This window comes from Homo sapiens, chromosome 10 (genome assembly GCF_000001405.40).
Source record: "Homo sapiens chromosome 10, GRCh38.p14 Primary Assembly".
Classification (NCBI taxonomy): domain Eukaryota; kingdom Metazoa; phylum Chordata; class Mammalia; order Primates; family Hominidae; genus Homo; species Homo sapiens.
Window position 1 is genome coordinate 94,845,375 of NC_000010.11, and position 20,019 is coordinate 94,865,393.

General features: G+C 37.5%; 1 protein-coding gene across 1 annotated transcript in view; it reads left to right on the top strand.

The window, feature by feature from the left end:
* The window catches only part of CYP2C19 (cytochrome P450 family 2 subfamily C member 19), a 92,867-nt gene extending 82,694 nt beyond the window's left edge, over window positions 1–10,173 (top strand). Inside the window, exons 8-9 of the mRNA NM_000769.4 lie at window positions 4,543–4,684; window positions 7,359–10,173. Of these exons, the coding sequence (NP_000760.1) occupies window positions 4,543–4,684; window positions 7,359–7,540 (324 nt within the window). The 3' untranslated portion in view covers window positions 7,541–10,173. The remainder of the gene's footprint in view (window positions 1–4,542; window positions 4,685–7,358) is intronic.

Consider the following 20,019-nt stretch of genomic DNA (forward strand, 5'->3'; position numbering starts at 1 on the left):
TGCATTTGTTCAATGTAAATACTTTTAGCTCACATACTATACAAAAACAGGTGGCAGGATGGACTTGTGCAGAGAGTATTGTTTATTGATGCCCAATATAAGACTTTCCTGTCCAGTAGAATTTTCTGCAAAGATGCTCGATTGATTTGTGTCCTATTTAAAGAATATTTGTCAGCACAAGATTCCAAAGACTGAGTTTTAACTTTCCCATAATTTTTTTGTTTTAGCTCTTATATTTACATCAATGACATGTTTCAAATTAATTTTTATTTGTAGTATGGAGTAATAATGGTCGTGCTTCAATGTCTATAAATTTCTATTTATTCAAGTAACATTTGTTGAAATAAATCTGCTTTGGTATCTTAAAAACATTTTAATATAGTACTTATTTATAAATATTCAAGGGAATATTTTTTAAAACAAAATTGTAGACTATTTATATGAAAACTTAGTGGGTAGAATTTTTCATCACCTTTGTATTATAAAATTTTTAAGAATAAATAACATTACACACATATATCTATATGTACATATGGCAGTGTGTATATATATCTACTTTGATATCTGTCTATCCATCTATCTAGACCTCAATACTGCAGTATATGTAGCCCAATAACAATGGTTTTCTCCTATATAATAATAATAGCATTCATAGTATGGAGTTATTGATACAATAATATTATTTACTGTACAGCTTATATTTAAAATTTCCCAATTCTTAAGGAACATTTTAATTACTTTTTTCTTTCAATTCACTCTCCAGTCAAGAAACAGGCACATAATTCGGGTATGTTGTCATTTTTATCTCCTGTAATCAAGAACAGTTCATTTCCTCTGTTTCCTTTCAGTATGTTGATCTCTGTGAAGAGTTGAGGCCTTTAGTCATTTAAATTTTCTTCGGGCTTGTTTTGTATAATTGTTTTCTAGATATTATATTCCAGTTATGACTTTGGCAAGAAAACTACATAGTACTTTGACTATTCCACTGAATCACAGTGGTGAGGCAGAGGCACATAATGTTACATATGCTATTACTGGTTATGCTAAGATCCTGACCTAATAAGTTGGAATCTGCCAGATCTCTCCATTGAAGGAGTTCTGCTTTTATGTGTAAATGATGAAAATCTATGGCATGACACTTTAAGACAGAACACCCTGTTTCCAAAGTCACACATCCAATAGTTTTATCTTTCATTGATGATCCTTGCCTGGCCTGATGATCTTGACCTGAATGGTTACAAAAGATGATTTTTTTCTAATTTCATTATTCCTTCTGTATTTTTTAAACTATTAGAATCTATTTATTTATTTATTTATTTTATTATTTTTATACTTTAAGTTTTAGGGTACATGTGCACAATGTGCAGGTTAGTTACATATGTATACATGTGCCATGCTGGTGTGCTGCACCCATTAACTCGTCATTTAGCATTAGGTATATCTCCTAATGCTATCTTTCTGTATTTTTAAGCTATGATTAATCTGTAATGAATATCTCTCCCGTATCTTTAAATGATAACAAACAAACTACATGGCAATGACAAACATTCAATAGTTTTATACTTGTGACTATACTTGTTACCATTCTAGAAGACGTCGTTTGAAGCTCAATCATATGTTTATTCACAAATGCCCTGTGAATAGACACTCTGGCCATTTCCCATGTCAACAGAGACTTCAACTTTATTTTATTTATTTATTTATTTATTTTTATTATTATACTGTAAGTTTTAGGGTACATGTGCACAACGTGCAGGTTAGTTACAAATGTATACATGTGCCATGTCGGTGTGCTGCACCCATTAACTTGTCATTTAGCATTAGGTATATCTCCTAATGCTAACCCTCCTCCCTCCCTCCACCCCAAAACAGTCCCTGGTGTGTGATGTTCCCCTTCCTGTGTCCATGTGTTCTCATTGTTCAATTCCCACCTATGAGTGAGAATATGCGGTGTTTGGTTTTTTGTCCTTGTGATAGTTTGCTGAGAATGATGGTTTCCAGCTTCATCCATGTCCCTACAAAGGACATGAACTCATCATTTTTTATGGCTGTGTAGTATTCCATGGTGTATATGTGCCATATTTTCTTAATCCAGTCTATCATTGTTGGATATTTGGGTTGATTCCAAGTCGTTGCTATTGTGAGTAGTGCTGCAATAAATATACGTGTGCATGTGTCTTTATAGTAGCATGATTTATAATCCTTTGGGTATATACCCAGTAATGGGATGGCTGGGTCAAGCGGTATTTCTAGTTCTAGACCCCTGAGGAATCACCACACTGACTTCCACAATGGTTGAACTAGTTTACAGTCCCACCAACAGTGTAAAACTGTTCCTATTTCTCCACATCCTCTCCTGCACCTGTTGTTTCCTGACTTTTTAATGATCGCCATTCTAACTGGTGTGAGATGGTATCTCATTGTGGTTGTGATTTGCATTTTTGTGATGGCCAGTGATGATGAGCATTTTTTCAAGTGCTTTTGGCTGCATAAATGTCTTCTTTTCAGAAGTGTCTGTTCATATCCTTCACCCACTTTTTGATGCGGTTGTTTGTTTTTTTCTTGTAAATTTGTTGGAGTTCATTGTAGATTCTGGATATTAGCCCTTCGTCAGATGAGTAGATTGCAAAAATTTTCTCCCATTCTGTAGGTTGCCTATTCACTCTGATGGTGGTTTCTTTTGCTGTGCAGAAGCTCTTTAGTTTTATTAGATCCCATTTGTCAATTTTGGCTTTTGTTGCCATTGCTTTTGGTGTTTTAGACATGAAGTCCTTGCCCATGCCTATGTCCTGAGTGGTATTGCCTAGGTTTTCTTCTAGGATTTTTATGGTTTTAGGTCTAACATTTAAGTCTTTGATCCATCTTGAATTAATTTTTGTATAAGGTGTAAAGAAGGGATCCAGTTTCAGATTTCTACATACGGCTAGTCAGTTTTCCCAGCACCATTTATTAAATAGGGAATCCTTTCCCCATTTCTTGTTTTTGTCAAGTTTGTCAAAGATCAGATCATTGTAGATGTGTGGTATTATTTCTGTTGGCTCTGTTCTGTTCCATTGGTCTACATCTCTGTTTTGGTACCAGTACCATGCTGTTTTGGTTACTGTAGCCTTGTAGTATAGTTTGAAGTCAGGTAGTGTGATGCCTCCAGCTTTGTTCTTTTGGCTTAGGATTGACTTGGCAATGCAGGCTCTTTTTTGGTTCCATATGAACTTTAAAGTAGTTTTTCCAATTCTGTGAAGAAAGTCATTGGTAGCTTGATGGGGATGGCATTGAATCTATAAATTACCTTGGGCAGTATGGCCATTTTCACAATATTGATTCTTCCTACCTATGAGCATGGAATGTTCTTCCATTTGTTTGTATCCTCTTTTATTTCATTGAGCAGTGGTTTGTAGTTCTCCTTAAAGAGATCCTTCACGTCCCTTGTAAGTTGGATTCCTAGGTATTTTATTCTCTTTGAAGCAATTGTGAATGGAAGTTCACTCATGATTTGGCTCTCTGTTTGTCTGTTATTGGTGTATAAGAATGCTTGTGATTTTTGTCCATTGATTTTGTATCCTGAGACTTTGCTGAAGTTGTTTATCAGCTTAAGGAGATTTTGGGCTGAGACGATGGGGTTGTCTAGATGTACAATCATGTCATCTGCAAACAGGGACAATTAGACTTCATCTTTTCCTAATTGAATGCCCTTTATTCCCTTCTCCTGCCTGATAGCCCTGTCCAGAACTTCCAACACTATGTTGAATAGGAGTGGTGAGAGAGAACATCCCTGTCTTGTGCCTTTAAGTCATAGTCTACACATAAGATTTGTGAAAACTGAAGTGATGAAATAGAGCAGCAGGAGTGGACAGGCACTAAAGCCCAAGCTTGATGAAAAGGACAGATTCAGAAGGTTGCACCCAAGTACGCAAGTACTCAGTACTTCAAATGTGGTTGTGGGCATTTTATTTATTTATTTATTTATTTTTTTCATCAGCAGATTTTATTAAGAAGAAGAAACAGGAAATTCAAAAGCAAGTTCATTTTAAATTAGCTGGTCAGAAGAGTACAAAGAGAAAAAAAAAGAAAAGAATCAAGAAATCCTATAGGACTTTGGGATTTTTTTTAAATTTTATTATCATTATACTTTAAGTTTTAGGGTACATGTGCACAATGTGCAGGTTTGTTACATATGTATACATGTGCCATATTGGTGTGCTGCACCCATTAACTCATCATTTAGCATTAGGTATATCTCCTAATGCTATCCCTCCCCCCTCCCCCCACCCCACAACAGTCCCCGAAGTGTGATGTTCCCCTTCCTGTGTCCATGTGTTCTCATTGTTCAATTCCTGATTGTGGGCATTTTAGCAAGATTATTGTCACTGGCCTTAAGCTCATGCCTCTTATTACTTCGTCTATCTGTCTGGAAATGGTACTGCTCTTCTTTGGAATGGTGTTTCATCATCTGTACATCAAAAGATTTAACTGCATGATTACCACTGTTTCTTAAACCTTCGTGACTTCTTTACAGCTCAGTTCACCTATGTCTCTTGTTTCTAGGGCACAACCATATTAACTTCCCTCACTTCTGTGCTACATGACAACAAAGAATTTCCCAACCCAGAGATGTTTGACCCTCGTCACTTTCTGGATGAAGGTGGAAATTTTAAGAAAAGTAACTACTTCATGCCTTTCTCAGCAGGTAATATAAATTTATTTCCCTTTGTGTTTCAGGGTACAAGATAACTTTTTTGATCAGTTGGAACTTACATGTGCCTTCTCTGCAGTGGTACAGTTACTCTTTGTACATGATCAAGAGCACTGTTCTGAATGCCTGTGTTTTCTCCGCTGGTGATACATCCTCATTATTCGGCCAGATTAGTGGGTTTTGGAGAATTAATCCAATTCTTCCAAATTGAGAAAGCTGAAGTATAGGTTGGTTGAATTCTGCCTCTAGATACACCACTGAGGTACTCAAGAACTCCTCCTGGAAGATAAAACTAATTACATTTTCCTCACTAGCCATGAGGAAGTTATCTCACTCCAGAACTTCACTGAGTGTCTTCCACATGGTGTCCCTCACCCCCTAGGCTGGGCTTGTAGGATAAAATTATCCTCAAACACAGAATAGGGTCTTAAGAGGCTCACTTCTGTGTTTGGAAAGCAGAGTAAACAGATCATTGTAGTTCAATAGGACTGAGGCTGTGATATAGAAAAGAACAGGCTGTTGTGGGTTGGGAGGTAGATGGAAAAGCTGTCTGCTTCTTGTTATCTTATAACCCAAAATGAGACATAAGTAACTAATAGCAGTAAAGACATTTAAGCTACATCAAAGGAGTCAGAGAGGATGAAAAGAAGAGAAGGCAGGGCTATTAAAGGAGATAATGAGCCACAGGAGCAGGATATTGGCTCTAAATAAAGGATATTAAAACCTTTGCCAAATAACCATGGATGGGATCAGGGGGACATTAAGAATGTAGCAGGATACTCTGCAGTGATGCAGAGCACCATGCTCTTTCCCTAGTCATGGCAATGTTTTTTGGATGTTTGATCTCCACACGTGAAATGTGTGTGCTGAGCATCTGGTGATAGAATCTCCTTCCTTTTTCTGTGACCTTTGATGTCTGCTTTATATGTGGCACTGTAGATACCAAGATAACAAGGAAAGAAACCTTCCTTCAAGCATTCACATTTAGCACATGTATCAGTCCATTCTTTCATTGCTATAAAGAACCACCTGAGACTGGGTAATTTATGAAGAAAAGAGGTTATTTGACTCACAGTTCCACAGGCTGTACAGGAAGAATGGCTGGGAGGACTCAGGAAACTTGCAGTCATGGTAGAAGGCAAAGAGGAAGCAAGCATATATTTTCATGGAAGAGCAGGAGAGAGAGAGCAAAGAGGAAAGGCTACACACTTTTAAACAACCAGATCTCATGAGAACTCACTCACTATCATGAGAACAGCAAGTGAGAAATCATCCCCTATGATGCAATCACCTTCTACCAGGTATCTCCCCCAACACTGGGAATTAGAATTTGACATGAGATTTGGGTAAGGACACAGAGACAAAGCATACCAGCACACAAATAAATAAATAAATAAATAAATAAATAAATAAATAAATAAATAAATAAGAAATAAGAAATTATGATTCTAGGTGACACATGCTGTCTGTTTCTTCTGCCATATCAAAATACCCAAGACTAGGCAACTGATAAATAACAGAAATTTATTTCTCACAGTTCTGAAGGCTGTGAATTCCAAGATTGAGGTGTCAGCAAGTTCACTGTCTGGTGAGGGCCTGTTCCTTATTGATAATACCCCCTCTGTATCCTCATGTGGCAGAAGCACAAAAAAAGCAAAAGGGGAGAAATGGCTCCCTTGCATCTCTTGGTGTTATTATTTTAGCAAGGACAGAGCCCTCCTGACTTATTCACTGCCTACAAGGCCTCATCACTTTAGTAATGTTGCACTGGGTATTATGTTTCAACATATGAAATGGGGGGAGGAATATTCAGACCATAGCACATTTTTCAATGGAAGCATGAACATGATGTTGAGGAATCCCAGGGAAACGAACATTTTCTTGCTCAGTGAGATGAGAAAGAGAGTAAAAAAGGAGATAAAATTTGACCTATGTCCTGACTGTGGTAATAGAAAAGTTCATCTTGTTCAAAAGGAGAAGCATGATATAAAACTTGAAACCTAGTGTGTTGGGGACTGATGATGAGTGGCTATGCCTAGAGTTGAGAGTAGGGGAGGTGAAGAGTGTAAAATGTGATACGGATCATCAGACTGGAAACAGAATGTGAGGGTCCAGGTCAAGCTATTTGGATCTTATCCCATAGGACAGACAGGGAAGCCATTTAAAGTTTTAAAGTGAGGGGGTAACATGTTTAGACATGTGATTCTGAAAATACTTAGCGGGAAAAAAATCTTTGGCTGCATACTGAGCCAGAAATACAAAGGGAAATGCCGAATGTGAGCCTCCTCCCCTAAGCCCTTCTCAGTTCAACCCACTGGACAGGTAATGTATGTTTCTCAAGAAAGATTTTAATGAATTGCTTGGCATGTAGCTGACAGTCAATAAACATTTGTTGAATACATGGTGCTTGATAAGATCTGAAGATAGGTGAAGAGTAAGCATGTCCATTCATTGTTTAGTTGCCTATCCATCCATTCATCCATTAATCCTTCCACCCATCCATCCTTTCATTCATGCATTCACCCAACCACCCATCTATCTACTCATCCCTCCTATGATTCACCGAACAGTTCTTGCATATTCTGTCTGTGCCAGTTATAGAGACAGTGTTTGTCACTCTCACAGTTACACATGAGGAGTAACTTCTCCCTATGTTTGTTATTTTCAGGAAAACGGATTTGTGTGGGAGAGGGCCTGGCCCGCATGGAGCTGTTTTTATTCCTGACCTTCATTTTACAGAACTTTAACCTGAAATCTCTGATTGACCCAAAGGACCTTGACACAACTCCTGTTGTCAATGGATTTGCTTCTGTCCCGCCCTTCTATCAGCTGTGCTTCATTCCTGTCTGAAGAAGCACAGATGGTCTGGCTGCTCCTGTGCTGTCCCTGCAGCTCTCTTTCCTCTGGTCCAAATTTCACTATCTGTGATGCTTCTTCTGACCCGTCATCTCACATTTTCCCTTCCCCCAAGATCTAGTGAACATTCAGCCTCCATTAAAAAAGTTTCACTGTGCAAATATATCTGCTATTCCCCATACTCTATAATAGTTACATTGAGTGCCACATAATGCTGATACTTGTCTAATGTTGAGTTATTAACATATTATTATTAAATAGAGAAAGATGATTTGTGTATTATAATTCAAAGGCATTTCTTCTCTGCATGTTCTAAACAAAAAGCATTATTATTTGCTGAGTCAGGTTATTAGACCTTCCTTCCTTTGTGCATAATGCAGGTGACAAATTAAAGAAAATAGAGTTCCAGGAGGCCATGCTGGTTCTCAAAACGATAAGGACAGAAAGGACAAAGGTGAAGATGGTAGGGAAGCTATTTTGGCTGAGCATTACCAAAATTTAGAGTTACATGAGGATTGGATTTGAAAGTGAGAAACTGTGTCCAGGAGCAGCTCCAACCTCTAGGGAAATATTCAGAGGATCAGGTATTGGGAGGAATGGATATTAAATGTTCCACATTGGTGTTCCTTTTTTTTTTTTTTTTGAGACAATGTCTCACTCTGTCTCCCAGGCTGGAGTGCAGTGGTGCAATCTCGGCTCACTGTAACCTTCGCCTCCCAGGCTCAAGAGATTCTCCTGCCTCAGCCTCCTGAGTAGCTGGGATTACAGACACGTGCCACCATGCCTGGCTAATTTTTTTGTATTTTTAGTACAGACAGGGTTTCACCATGTTAGCCAGGATGATCTCAATCTGCTGACCTCCTGATCTGCCTGCCTCAGCCTCCCAAAGTGCTGGGATTACAGGAGTGAGACACTGTGCCTGGTCTAATGTTACTTTAAAGTGTCATTACTTTATCTCTAAATAAAGAATCAGGTTACTTTTATTACTTCATGTTTCCAACTTAGAATGAAGTAATGAAGTATAAATATATGCTTTCATATTGCTGCTCATGTGTTTTGTCATGCTTCTCTCTTCAAACATGAACAAAATTTCTTTTCTTTTTTCTTTTTTTTTTGAAATGGAGTCCCACTTTTGTTCCCCAGGCTGGAGTGCAATGGTGCGATCTCGGCTCACTGCAATCTCCACCTCCTGGATTCAAGTGGTTCTCCTGCCTCAGCCCCCCAAGTAGCTGGGATTACAGGTGCCTACCACCACACCAGGCTAATTTTTGTATTTTTAGTAGAGACAGGGTTTCACTATGTGGGCCAGGCTAGTCTTGAACTCCTGACCTCAAGTGATCCACCCACCTCAGCCTCCCAAACTGCTGGGCTTACAGGCGTGAGCCACTGCACCTGGCTGAACAAAATTTCTAAGAAGAATTACCAGGGTTTAATCTTTTTCAGCTTCTCCTATATTGTTTTAGTTTTAACATTAGTGGGATGATAATTTTATGCTATTGTCCTAATATAATTAGCCTCATGTCATCTCCAAAGCATAGACAACTAAGTATCTTATGTTAAATTATGTTCACCACTCTTCCTGTCTTCTACTTGAAATGTAAGAAATAAGAAGTAACATAATTGATTATGCTTTTCACAGCTCATCTCCTAGAACAAGCTACTTACAATTTGGAATACATTTAAAGATAATATATGGGTACAGATGTACATGTACATCTATGCATGTGTGTGTACATTATGTGCATTCACACATAATATATATATGTATAACTTATGCACACATACATATAGGGTTAAATGTTTATTTACAATATTGGGCTCATATCACACATCTTGTATTAAAACTTGCTATTTTCCTACCAAGTAATATGCCAGCAAAACCTCTAAGGTGATAGAAACATAGGCAAATAATTCAGAGAGTTAATAGAAGAGAAAGTGGAAATGGGTATTACATTAATGGAAAGATACAGATGGAAATTACACATTATACATTTTAAACATTCTTCATTGGGAAATGAAAATGTATTAATGTAGTGTTAGTAGAGGTGTTGACAAACACCCATGGGTGAGATAAATAAAAAAGTTGTCTAGTCTGTTTCCTCCTGGAGACTGTAGTGGATAATCTGTTTTCCTGCCTATTTCAGCTCCTAAAGGCTGCCTGCATTCCTTGGCTCATGAACTCCTTTTTCTTTCACTCCAAACACTTGCTTCTTTTGTTACATCTCCTACTCCTACTACTCTTATTCTCTCTCCCTTATGTAAAGACCCTTGTGATTACATGAAACCCACCAGTGTAATCTCTTCATGTCCAGACATTATTTAGCCTACCATACTATTATTATACCCATTTGAACAACCAAACAATTGCACTGATGATCTGTTAAGCATCTTGTTCAAGGTCACACAGCTTTTTAAGTGTCAGAGCCAACAATTGGACAAGGGCAATCTGACTGGAAAGTAGAAGTTGCTAACAACTTTGCTAATTCTCTGCATTTATTTTTATTGTTTGTATTTCTTCCCTAAAATACATATTTCATATGAGAAGAGAACTTTATTTGGCTCACTAATGAATACCAGCCACCTGAAACACTGTTTAGAAGATACTGGCTCAATAAATATTTAATGAATGAATGACTACTTAATGAATTAATGAATGAATGTGGGCATAAAGGAGCACGTGAATTTATTTATTCTCTTTTAAGGCCAATGTGACAATATTCATAGAAATGTATATGAACACCTCAGTCCTTCAAACAGTTTCACTTCTTGAGTATTCATGGATATCATTGAGTGTATATATTACTTACTATATATAAATGCTTATTTTATGATTGTTCATAATAGACTTGAAACAAAAATTTTACTGGAGGGTGTGAATAAATTATGGTGGATCTTTTTTTTTATTATACTTTAAATTCTAGAGTACATTTGTACAACGTGCAGGTTTGTTACTTAGGTATACATGTGCCATGTAGGTTTGCTGCACCCATTAACTTGTCATTTACATTAGGTATTTCTCCTAGTGATATCCCTCCCCCATCCCCCACCCCATGACAGGCCCCAGGGTGTGATGTTCCTCACCCTGTGTCCAAGTGTTCTCATTGTTCAATTCCCACCTATAAGTGAGAACATGCAATGTTTGCTTTTCTGTCCTTGTAATAGTTTGCTCAGAATGATGGTTTCCAGCTTCATCCATGTCCCTGCAAAGAACATGCACTCATCCTTTTTTATGGCTGTACAGTATTCCATGGTGTATATGTGCCACATTTTCTTAATCCAGTCTATCATTGTTGGACATTTGGGTTGGTTCCAAGTCTTTGCTATTGTGAATAGTGCCACAATAAACATACGTGTGCATGTGTCTTTATAGTAGCATGATTTATAATCCTTTGGGTATATACCCAGTAATGGATCACTGGGTCAAACGGTATTTCTAGTTCTAGATCCTTGAGGAATCACCACACTGTCTTCCACAATGGTGGAACTAGTTTACACTCCCACCAACAGTGTAAAAGCATACCTATTTCTTGACATCCTCTCCAGCATCTGTTGTTTCCTGACTTTTTAATGATCGCCATTCTAACTGGTGTGAGATGGTATCCCATTGTGGTTTTGACTTGCATTTCTCTGATGACCAGTGATGATGAGCATTTTTTCATGTGTCTTTTGGCTGCATAAATGTCTTCTTTTGAGAAGTGTCTGTTCATATCCTTTGCCCAATTTTTGGTGAGGTTGTTTGATTTTTTCTTGTAAATTTGTTTAAGTTATTTGTAGATTTTTGATATTAGCCCTTTGTCAGATGGGTAGATTGCAAAAATTTTCTCCCATTCTATAGGTTGCCTGTTCACTCTCATGGTAGTTTCTTTTGCTGTGCAGAAGTTCTTTAGTTTAATTAGATCCCGTTATTCAATTTTGGCTTTGTTGCCATTGCTTTTGGTGTTTTAGTCATGCAATTTTTGCCCATGCCTATGTCCTGAATGGTATTGCCTAGGTTTTCTTTTGGGTTTTTATAGTTTTAGGTCTAACATTTAAGTCTTTAATCCATCTTGAATTAATTTTTGTATAAGCTGTAAGGAAGGGATCCAGTTTCAGCTTTCTCCTTATGGCTAGGAGTTTTCCTAGCACCATCTGAATGTTGGCCTGCCTTGCTAGGTTGTGGAAGTTCTCCTGGATAATATCCTGAAGAGTGTTTTCCAAGTTGGTTCCATTCTCCCCGTCCCTTTCAGGTACACCAATCAAACATATATTTGGTCTTTTCACATAGTTCCATATTTTTTGGAGGCTTTGTTCATTTCTTTTTGCTCTTTTTTTCCTCTAAACCTCTCTTCTCACTTTATTTCATTCATTTGATCTTCAATCACTGATACCCTTTCTTCCACTTGATCGAATCAGCTATTGAAGCTTGTACATGCATCAGGTAGTTCTTGTGCCATGGTTTTCAGCTCCATCAGGTCATTTGAGGTCTTCTCTATACTGTTTATTCTAGTTATCCATTCATCTAATCTTTTTTCAATGTCTTTAGCTTCCTTGCCATGGGTTCAAGCATCCTTGTTTAGCTTGGAGAAGTTTGTTATTACCAACCTTCTGAAGTCTACTTCTGTCAGCTCATCAAAGTCATTCTCCATCCAGCTTTGTTCCATTGTTGGCGAGGAGCTGCAATTCTTTGGAGAAGAAGAGGCGCTCTGGTTTTTACAATTTTCAGCTTTTCTGCTCTGGTTTCTCTTATCTTTGTGGTTTTATCTACCTTTGGTCTTTGATTTTTGTGACCTACAGATGGGGTTTTGGTGTGGATGTCCTTTTTGCTGATGTTGATGCTATTCCTTTCTGTTTGTTAGTTTTCCTCCTAACAGTCAAGTCCCTAAGCTGCAGGTCTGTTGGAGTTTACTGGAGGTCCACTTCAGACCCTGTTTGCCTGGGTATCACCAGCGGAGGCTGCAGAACAGCAAATATTGCTGCCTGATCCTTCCTCTGGAAGCTTCATCCCGAGGGGCACCCACCTTTATGAGGTGTCAGTCGGCCCCTACTGGGAAGTGTCTCCCAGTTAGGCTACATAGGGATCAGGGACCCACTTGAGGCAGCAGTCTGTTCATTCTCAGACCTCAAACACTGTTCTTTGAGAACCACTGCTCTCTTCAGAGCTGTCAGACAGAGACGTTTAAGTCTGCAGAAGTTTCTGCTGCCTTTTATTCAGCTATGCCCTGCCCTGAGAGGTGGAGACTACAGAGACAGCAGGCCATGCTGAGCTGCAGTGGGCTCCACCCAGTTCAAGCTTTCCCAGCTGCTTTGTTTACCTACTCACGCCTTAGCAATGGCAGACACCCCTCCCCCAGCAAGGCTGCTGCCTCACAGGTCGATCTCAGACTGCTGAGCTAGCAGTGATCAAGGCTTTGTGGGTGTGGGTCCTGCTGAGCCAGGCATAGGATATAACCTCCTGGCATGCCGCTTGCTAAGACCATAGGAAAAGTGCAGTATTTGGGAGGGAGTGTCCTGTATTTCCAGGTACAATGTCATGGCTTCCCTTGGCTAGGAAAGGGAAATCCCCCAACCTCTTGTGCTTCCCAGGTGAGGCAATGACCTGCCCTGCTTTGGCTCACCCTCCATGGGCTGCATCCACTGTCCAACAAGTCCCAATGAGATGAACCAGGTAGTTCAGTTGGAAATGCAGAAATCACCCATCTTCTGGATCGATCATGCTGGGAGCTGCAGACCATAGCTGTTCCATTTTGGCCATCTTGGAATGGAATCCCCCCAATTTTTTTCTATTGTGGATCTAAAAAATGGAAAAGTAAGCTGTAGTTTCAAATGATTTTCATCATCATATAATAATAAATTATTTATTGTATGGCAGACACTATAATCATATGAAAACATTAATTAATTTAGTTCCTATAACAATACAATGAGTTTAGTACAATTGTAATTCATCTCCATTTAACAGATAAAGTCATGGAGGAACAGAGATGTTTATTAATGTGTCCAATATCATAAGGCCAATAAGTGACACAGCTGGAGTAAACAGAAAGTCTAATTCCAAAGTCTGTTCTCCTAAACTCTACAGTGTGCTGGGTTTATTTCTGGGGAGTCTCATCTGTACAGTTCTTCTAGGCTCTGGCTGTTAGAGACTTGGTCTCTCTTCCTCCACCTAAAACTATCCTGATATCTATATTCTCCTTTCTATTATTCTTCAATGCTATTCCAGATCTGGGTAGGAAAGCCTTAGCTTCACAGTCCCCCAATAATAATGAAATGGGTGTGTTCCCTTATCCCTCTCAGGATGTGTGACAGGGGTGTGGCTCACTTCCTTGGTGCTTCACTGCTCAAACCGCAAGTGGGAGCATGCTGACAGGCAGGTACAGAGGCCATGGGGAGTGCTTTTTAGGCTCTGGCACCACAGCAGCATCTAGGGGTGTCTGTAACTACTGAAGCCCAACCGGGTTGTGTTACAGTGTGCTCTTTCAACTTTGCTGTCTGCAGATGGCTTGTGTTAATCAGCTCAATTAGACCCTCTGCCTTATCGCAAGGTCAGAGGGCTTTCTGTATCCCAGGTTCTTGCCCTAGTTACTGGAGAAATCAGATCACATGTGGGTTTGGAGGATGAATGCAAAGTTTTATTGTGTGGTGATGGTAGCTCCTATAGAGGTGAGTGAGGAGTTAGAAGGGAGATGGTTGGGAAGGTGGTCTTCCCCTGGAGTAGGGCTGGCCAGTGGCTGGACTGTCCTCCAAACAATTCTGGCTGAATTCCCCTCAGCAGTATACTACCTGTACCCTGACAACTTATGGAAAAATAAAAAAAGAATAAATAAATTTGTAACATTTAAAAAATAAATAAATAAAACTAATGCCCCCCCCAATTAAAAGAGCACAGGAAACAACACAAGGGCTTACACAGTGCTAGTAATAATTCCTCTGACCATCCTCCAGAGAGAAAGACCTCTAATTCATTGGATATCAGGTAGAGTGCTCAAAGCATATTGCCTCAGTAAAGGGGGGAAAATCCATAGGCTAACAGCTGCTCTTGTGTGTTCTAATAAAGTTTAAATACAGCTCTCATAAGGATAAAACTGGTTTCTAATGACTTAAATACATTTCAGAAGAATACAGAAAAATATTTATAAGATCATATGAATTTTCTGCAGCCTTAACATAAAATCACAATGGTTTTTATCCAAAGGAGAGTTATCAGACATGCAAGCAAAAGTGAAGATATGAGAAAAAAAGTAATATATACAAGTAGGTTTAAAAATTACACGATGATTGAATTCATGACAAGGAAAATAAGATAGTTATAACTGAATATCTAGATTTCGTATGTTCAAGAAAACAGAGGGAAGACTGGCCATACTACTCATCAAAGGGGATACATAAAAAAAAACACAGATTGAAAACCTAGAGAAAAAAAATGCAAGGTCTGAAATGAAAAGCACACTGAATATAATTAAGGGCAGATTAGAAACTACAAAAGAGATAAGTGAATTCGAAGACATAAGAGAAAAAACTATCTTAAATTAAACAAAGAGAAAAAAAGACTGAAATAAAATGACCAAAAAATAAATAAGTGGGGGGACAACTTCAATTAAATTTAAAAATATGCAATCATAGCTCATAAATGTGGGTAAAAAAAGTATGTGAAATATAATGGCTATATTTTCTTCAAATTTGATTAAAACTATAAGCCAAAAGATCCAAGTAACTCAACAAGCTCTAAGTACAAGAAACATAAAGAAATTTACACGAATGTACCCCATAAATAAAATGTATAAAGCCAACCATAAGACAATCTCAAAAGCAACCAAAAAGGATTTTAAATATGGGGGAAATGAAATTAAGGTGTATAGTCTTATTTTAGTTCTCTTTTTGCTTTTTTTAAATGTACACAATATTAAGTTGATATCAGCTTAAAATAATGGGTTATAAGATAGTATTTGCAAGCTCCATGTAACCTCAAAAAAAAAGTACAATGGAGACACAAAAGTTAAAAGCAAGAAACTAACTTATATGGCTAGAGAAAATAACCTTCATTAAAAGGAAGACAAGAAAAAAAAAAAGAGGGAGGAAAAGACCAAAAAACAAACAAAAGCAAATAACAATATGGCAGGGTTAAGTCCTTACTTATCAATAATAACATTGAATGTAAATGGACTAAACTGTTCAATCAAACTTCATAGAGTGGCTAAATGGATTAAAAAAGACCCATTGATCTGTGGCTTAAAAGAAACATATTTCACCTATAAAGACGCACATAGACTGAAAACAGAAAGATGGAAAAAGATATTCCAAGTCAATGAAAATGAAAAAGGAGCAGCATTGCTATACTTATATCAGACAAAACAGATTTCAACACAAAAACTGTAAGAGACAAAGAAGGTCATCATATAATGATAAAGGGTTCATTCAGCAAGAGGGTATAACAATTTTAAATATATACACACCCAACACTGAAGCAGCCAGATATATAAAGAAAATATTAGAGCTAAAGAGGGAAATAGGCCCCAATACAATGATAGGAGGAGGCTTCAACTCCGCACTCTGAACATTGTACAGAATTTCAGACAGAAAATCAATAAAGATACATCAGACTGAATCTGCACTATAGAACAAATATATATAATAGGTATTTACAGAACACTTTATTCAAGAGCTACAGAATACACATTCTTTTCTTCAGCACATGGATCATTCTCAAGGATAGACTATATGTTAGGTCACAAAACAATTCTTAAAACATCCACACAATTTGAAAGTATATCAAGTATCTTTTTTGACTGCAATGGGATAAAACTAGGAATCAATAACACGGGGAATTTTGGAAACTATACATATACATAGAAATGAAACAGTTTGCTCCTGAATGACTAGTGAGTCCATGAAGAGATGAAAAAGGAAAGTGAAAAGTTTCTTGAAATAACTGACAATGGAAACACAACATACCAAAATCTAGGGGCTCCAGCAAAGACAGTACTAAGAGGGAAGTTTATAGTTACAAGTTCCTACATCAAAATGATGAAAAACTTCAATAAAAAATCTAATTATGCATCTTAAGGAACTAGAAAAGCAAGAGCAAACCAAGCCCAAAATTAGTAGTCAAAAATAACTAATAAAGATCAGAGTAGAAATAAATGAAATTGAAACCAGAAAACAATAAAAAAGATCAATAAAACAAAAAGTTGGGTTTTTCAAAAAGTTAAAAAAAAAGATGAATCATTAGCCAGACTAAGTAGGAAAAGAAGTTAGAAAATCCAAATGAATGAAATCAGAAATAAAGGAGATGTAACAACTGATACCAAAGAAATTCAAAGGATCATTAGTGGCTACTATAAGCAATTATATGCCAATAAATTACAAAATCTAGAAGAAATAAACAAATTCCTGGATATATAGAATGCACCAAGACTGAACCATGAAGAAATAAAAAAGCCTGAACAGATCAATAACAAGTATCAAGATGGAAGCCATAATAAAAGTTTTCCACTAAAGAAAGGCCTGGGACCTGACAACTTCACTGCTGAATTCTACCAAACATTTAAAGAAGAATTAATATCAATTCTACTCAAAAGATTCCAAGAAACAGGATATGGGAAGACTTCCAAAGTCATTCTATGAGTCTGGTATTACTCTGACACGAAAATTAGACAAAGACACATTAAAAAAGAAAACTATAGGTCAATATCTCTGATGAATATTGATGCAAAAATCCTCTACAAAATACTAGCAAGGTGAATTCAACAATACATTAGAAAGATCATTCATCATGACCAGGTAGGATTTATCCCTCAAATCAATCAATGTGATACATCATATTCACAGAGCAAAGCGTTAAAAACCATATAATCATTTCAATTGATGTTGAAAAAGCATTTGATGCAATTTAACATCCCTCCATGAAAAAAACCCTCAAAAAACTGGAGATAGAAGGAACATACCTCAACATAAAATCCATATACAACAGACACACAACTAGTATCATATTGAATGGGGAAAAAAACTGAAAGCCTTTTCTCTAAGCTCTGAAACACAATAAAGATGCCCACTGTCATCATTGTTATTCAAGATAGTACTGTAGGTCCTAGCTAGAGCAATCAGACAAGAGAAAGATATGAAGGGGATCCAAATTCAAATGGAAGATGTAAAATTATCTTTATTTTTTATTTTTTTCATAAGTTATTGGGGGTACAGGTGGTATTTGGTTACATGAGTAAGTTCTTTAGTGGTGATTTGTGAGATTTTGGTGCATCCATCACCCGAGCAGTATACACGGCACCATATTTGTAGTCTTTTATTCCTCACCCCCCTTCCCACCCTTCCCCACAAATCCCCACAGTCCATTGTATCATTCTTATGCCTTTGGATTTTTATAGCTTAGCTCCCACATATCAGTGAGAACATACAATGTTTGGTTTTCCATTCCTGAGCTACTTCACTTAGAGTAATAGTCTCCAATCTCATCAGGTTTCTGCAAATACTGTTAATTCACTCATTTTTTATGGCTGAGTAGTATTCCATCATAAAAATATATACCACAATTTCTTTATCCATTTGTTGATTGATGGACATTTGTGTTGGTTCCACAATTTTGCAATTGTGAATTGTGCTGCTATAAACATGCGTGCACAAGTATCTTTTGCATATAATGACCTTTTCCTCTGGGTAGATACTCTGTAGTGGGATTGCTGGATCAAATGGTAGTTCTACTTTCAGTTCTTTAAGGAAGATCCACACTGTTTTCCATGGTTGTACTAGTTTACATTCCCAACACCAGTGTAGAAGTGTTCCCTGATCACCTCATCGACGCCAACATCTACGGATTTTTAATTTTTTGATTATGGCCATTTTTGCAGAAGTGAGGTGGTATCACATTCTGGTTTTGATTTGCATTTCCTTGATCATTAGTGATGCTGAGCATTTTTTCATAAGTTTGTTGGCCATTTGTATATCTTCTTTTGAGAATTGTCTATTCATGTCCTTATCCCACTTTTTGTTGGGATTGTTTGTTTTTTTCTTACTGATTTGTTTGAGTTTGTTGTAGATTCTGGATATTAGTCCTTTGCCAGATGTCTAGATTGCAAAGATTTTCTCCCACTCTGTGGGTTGTCTGTTTACTCTGCTGACTATACCTTTTTCCATGCAAAACCTCTTCAGTTAAATTAAGTCCCAACTATTTGTCTTGGTTTTTATTGCATTTGCTTTTGGGTTCTTGGTCATGAAATCCTTGCCTAAGCCAACATCTAGAAGTGTTTTTTTTTTTTCAGTGTTATCTTCTAGAATTTCAGATCTTAGATGGAAGTCCTTAATCCGTCTTGAGGTGATTTTTGTATAAGGTGAGAGATGAGGATCCAGGTTCATTCTCCTACATGTGGCTAGCCAATTACCCCAGCACCATCTGTTGAAAAGGGTGTCCTTTCCCTATTTTATGTTTTTGTTTGCTTTGTCAAAGATCAGTTTGCTGCATTTGGGTTTATTTCTGGGCTCTCTGTTCTGTTCTATTTTTCTCTTTGCCTATTTTTATACCAGTATCACACTGTTTGGTGTCTATCGCCTTATAGTGTAGTTTGTAATCAGGTAGTGTGATGTCTCCAGATTTCTTCTTTTTGCCTAGTCTTGCCTTGGCTATGTGGGCTCTTTTTTGGTTTGGTTCTATATGAATTTTAGAATTTTTTTTCTAGTTCTGTGAAGAATGATGTGGTATTTTGATGGGAATTGTGTTAAATTTGTAGATTGCTTTTGGCAGTATAGTCATTTTCACCATATTGATTGTACCCATCTCTGAGCATCGGATGTGTTTCCATTTGTTTGTCTCATCTACAATTTCTTTCAGCAGTGTTTTGTAGTTTTCCTTGCAGAGGCCTTTCGACTTCTTGGTTAGGTATATGCCTAAGAATTTTAATTTTTTTGTAGCTGTTGTAAAAGGGATTGGCTTCTTGATTTGATTCTCTGCTTGGTCACTGTGGTGTATAGAAGAGCTACAGATTTGTGTATATTAATCTTTTATCTGGAAACTTTGCTGAATTCTTTTATCAGTTCCAGGAGCTTTCTGGAGGAGTCTTTAGGGTTTTCAAGGTAAACGATCATATTGTCAGCAAACAGTGACAGTTTGACTTCCTCTTTGTTGATTTGGATGCCCTTGATTTCTTTCTCTGGTCTTATTGCTCTGGCTAGGACTTCTAGTACTGTGTTGAGGGGGAGTGGTGAGAGTGGGCATCCTTGTCCTGTTCCAGTTCTCAGAGAGAATGCTTTCAACTTTTTCCCATTCAGTATTATGTTGGCTGTGGGTTTGCCATGGATGGCTTTTATTACATTGATTTTGCTGAGGCTTTTAATCATAAAGCGATGCTGGATTTTGTCAAATGCTTTTTCAGCATCTAGTGAAATAATAATGTGATTTTTGTTTTAAATTCTGTTTATGTGGTGTATCACATTTATTGACTTGCATATGTTAAACCATCCTTGCATCCCTGGTATGATACCCACTTAATCAT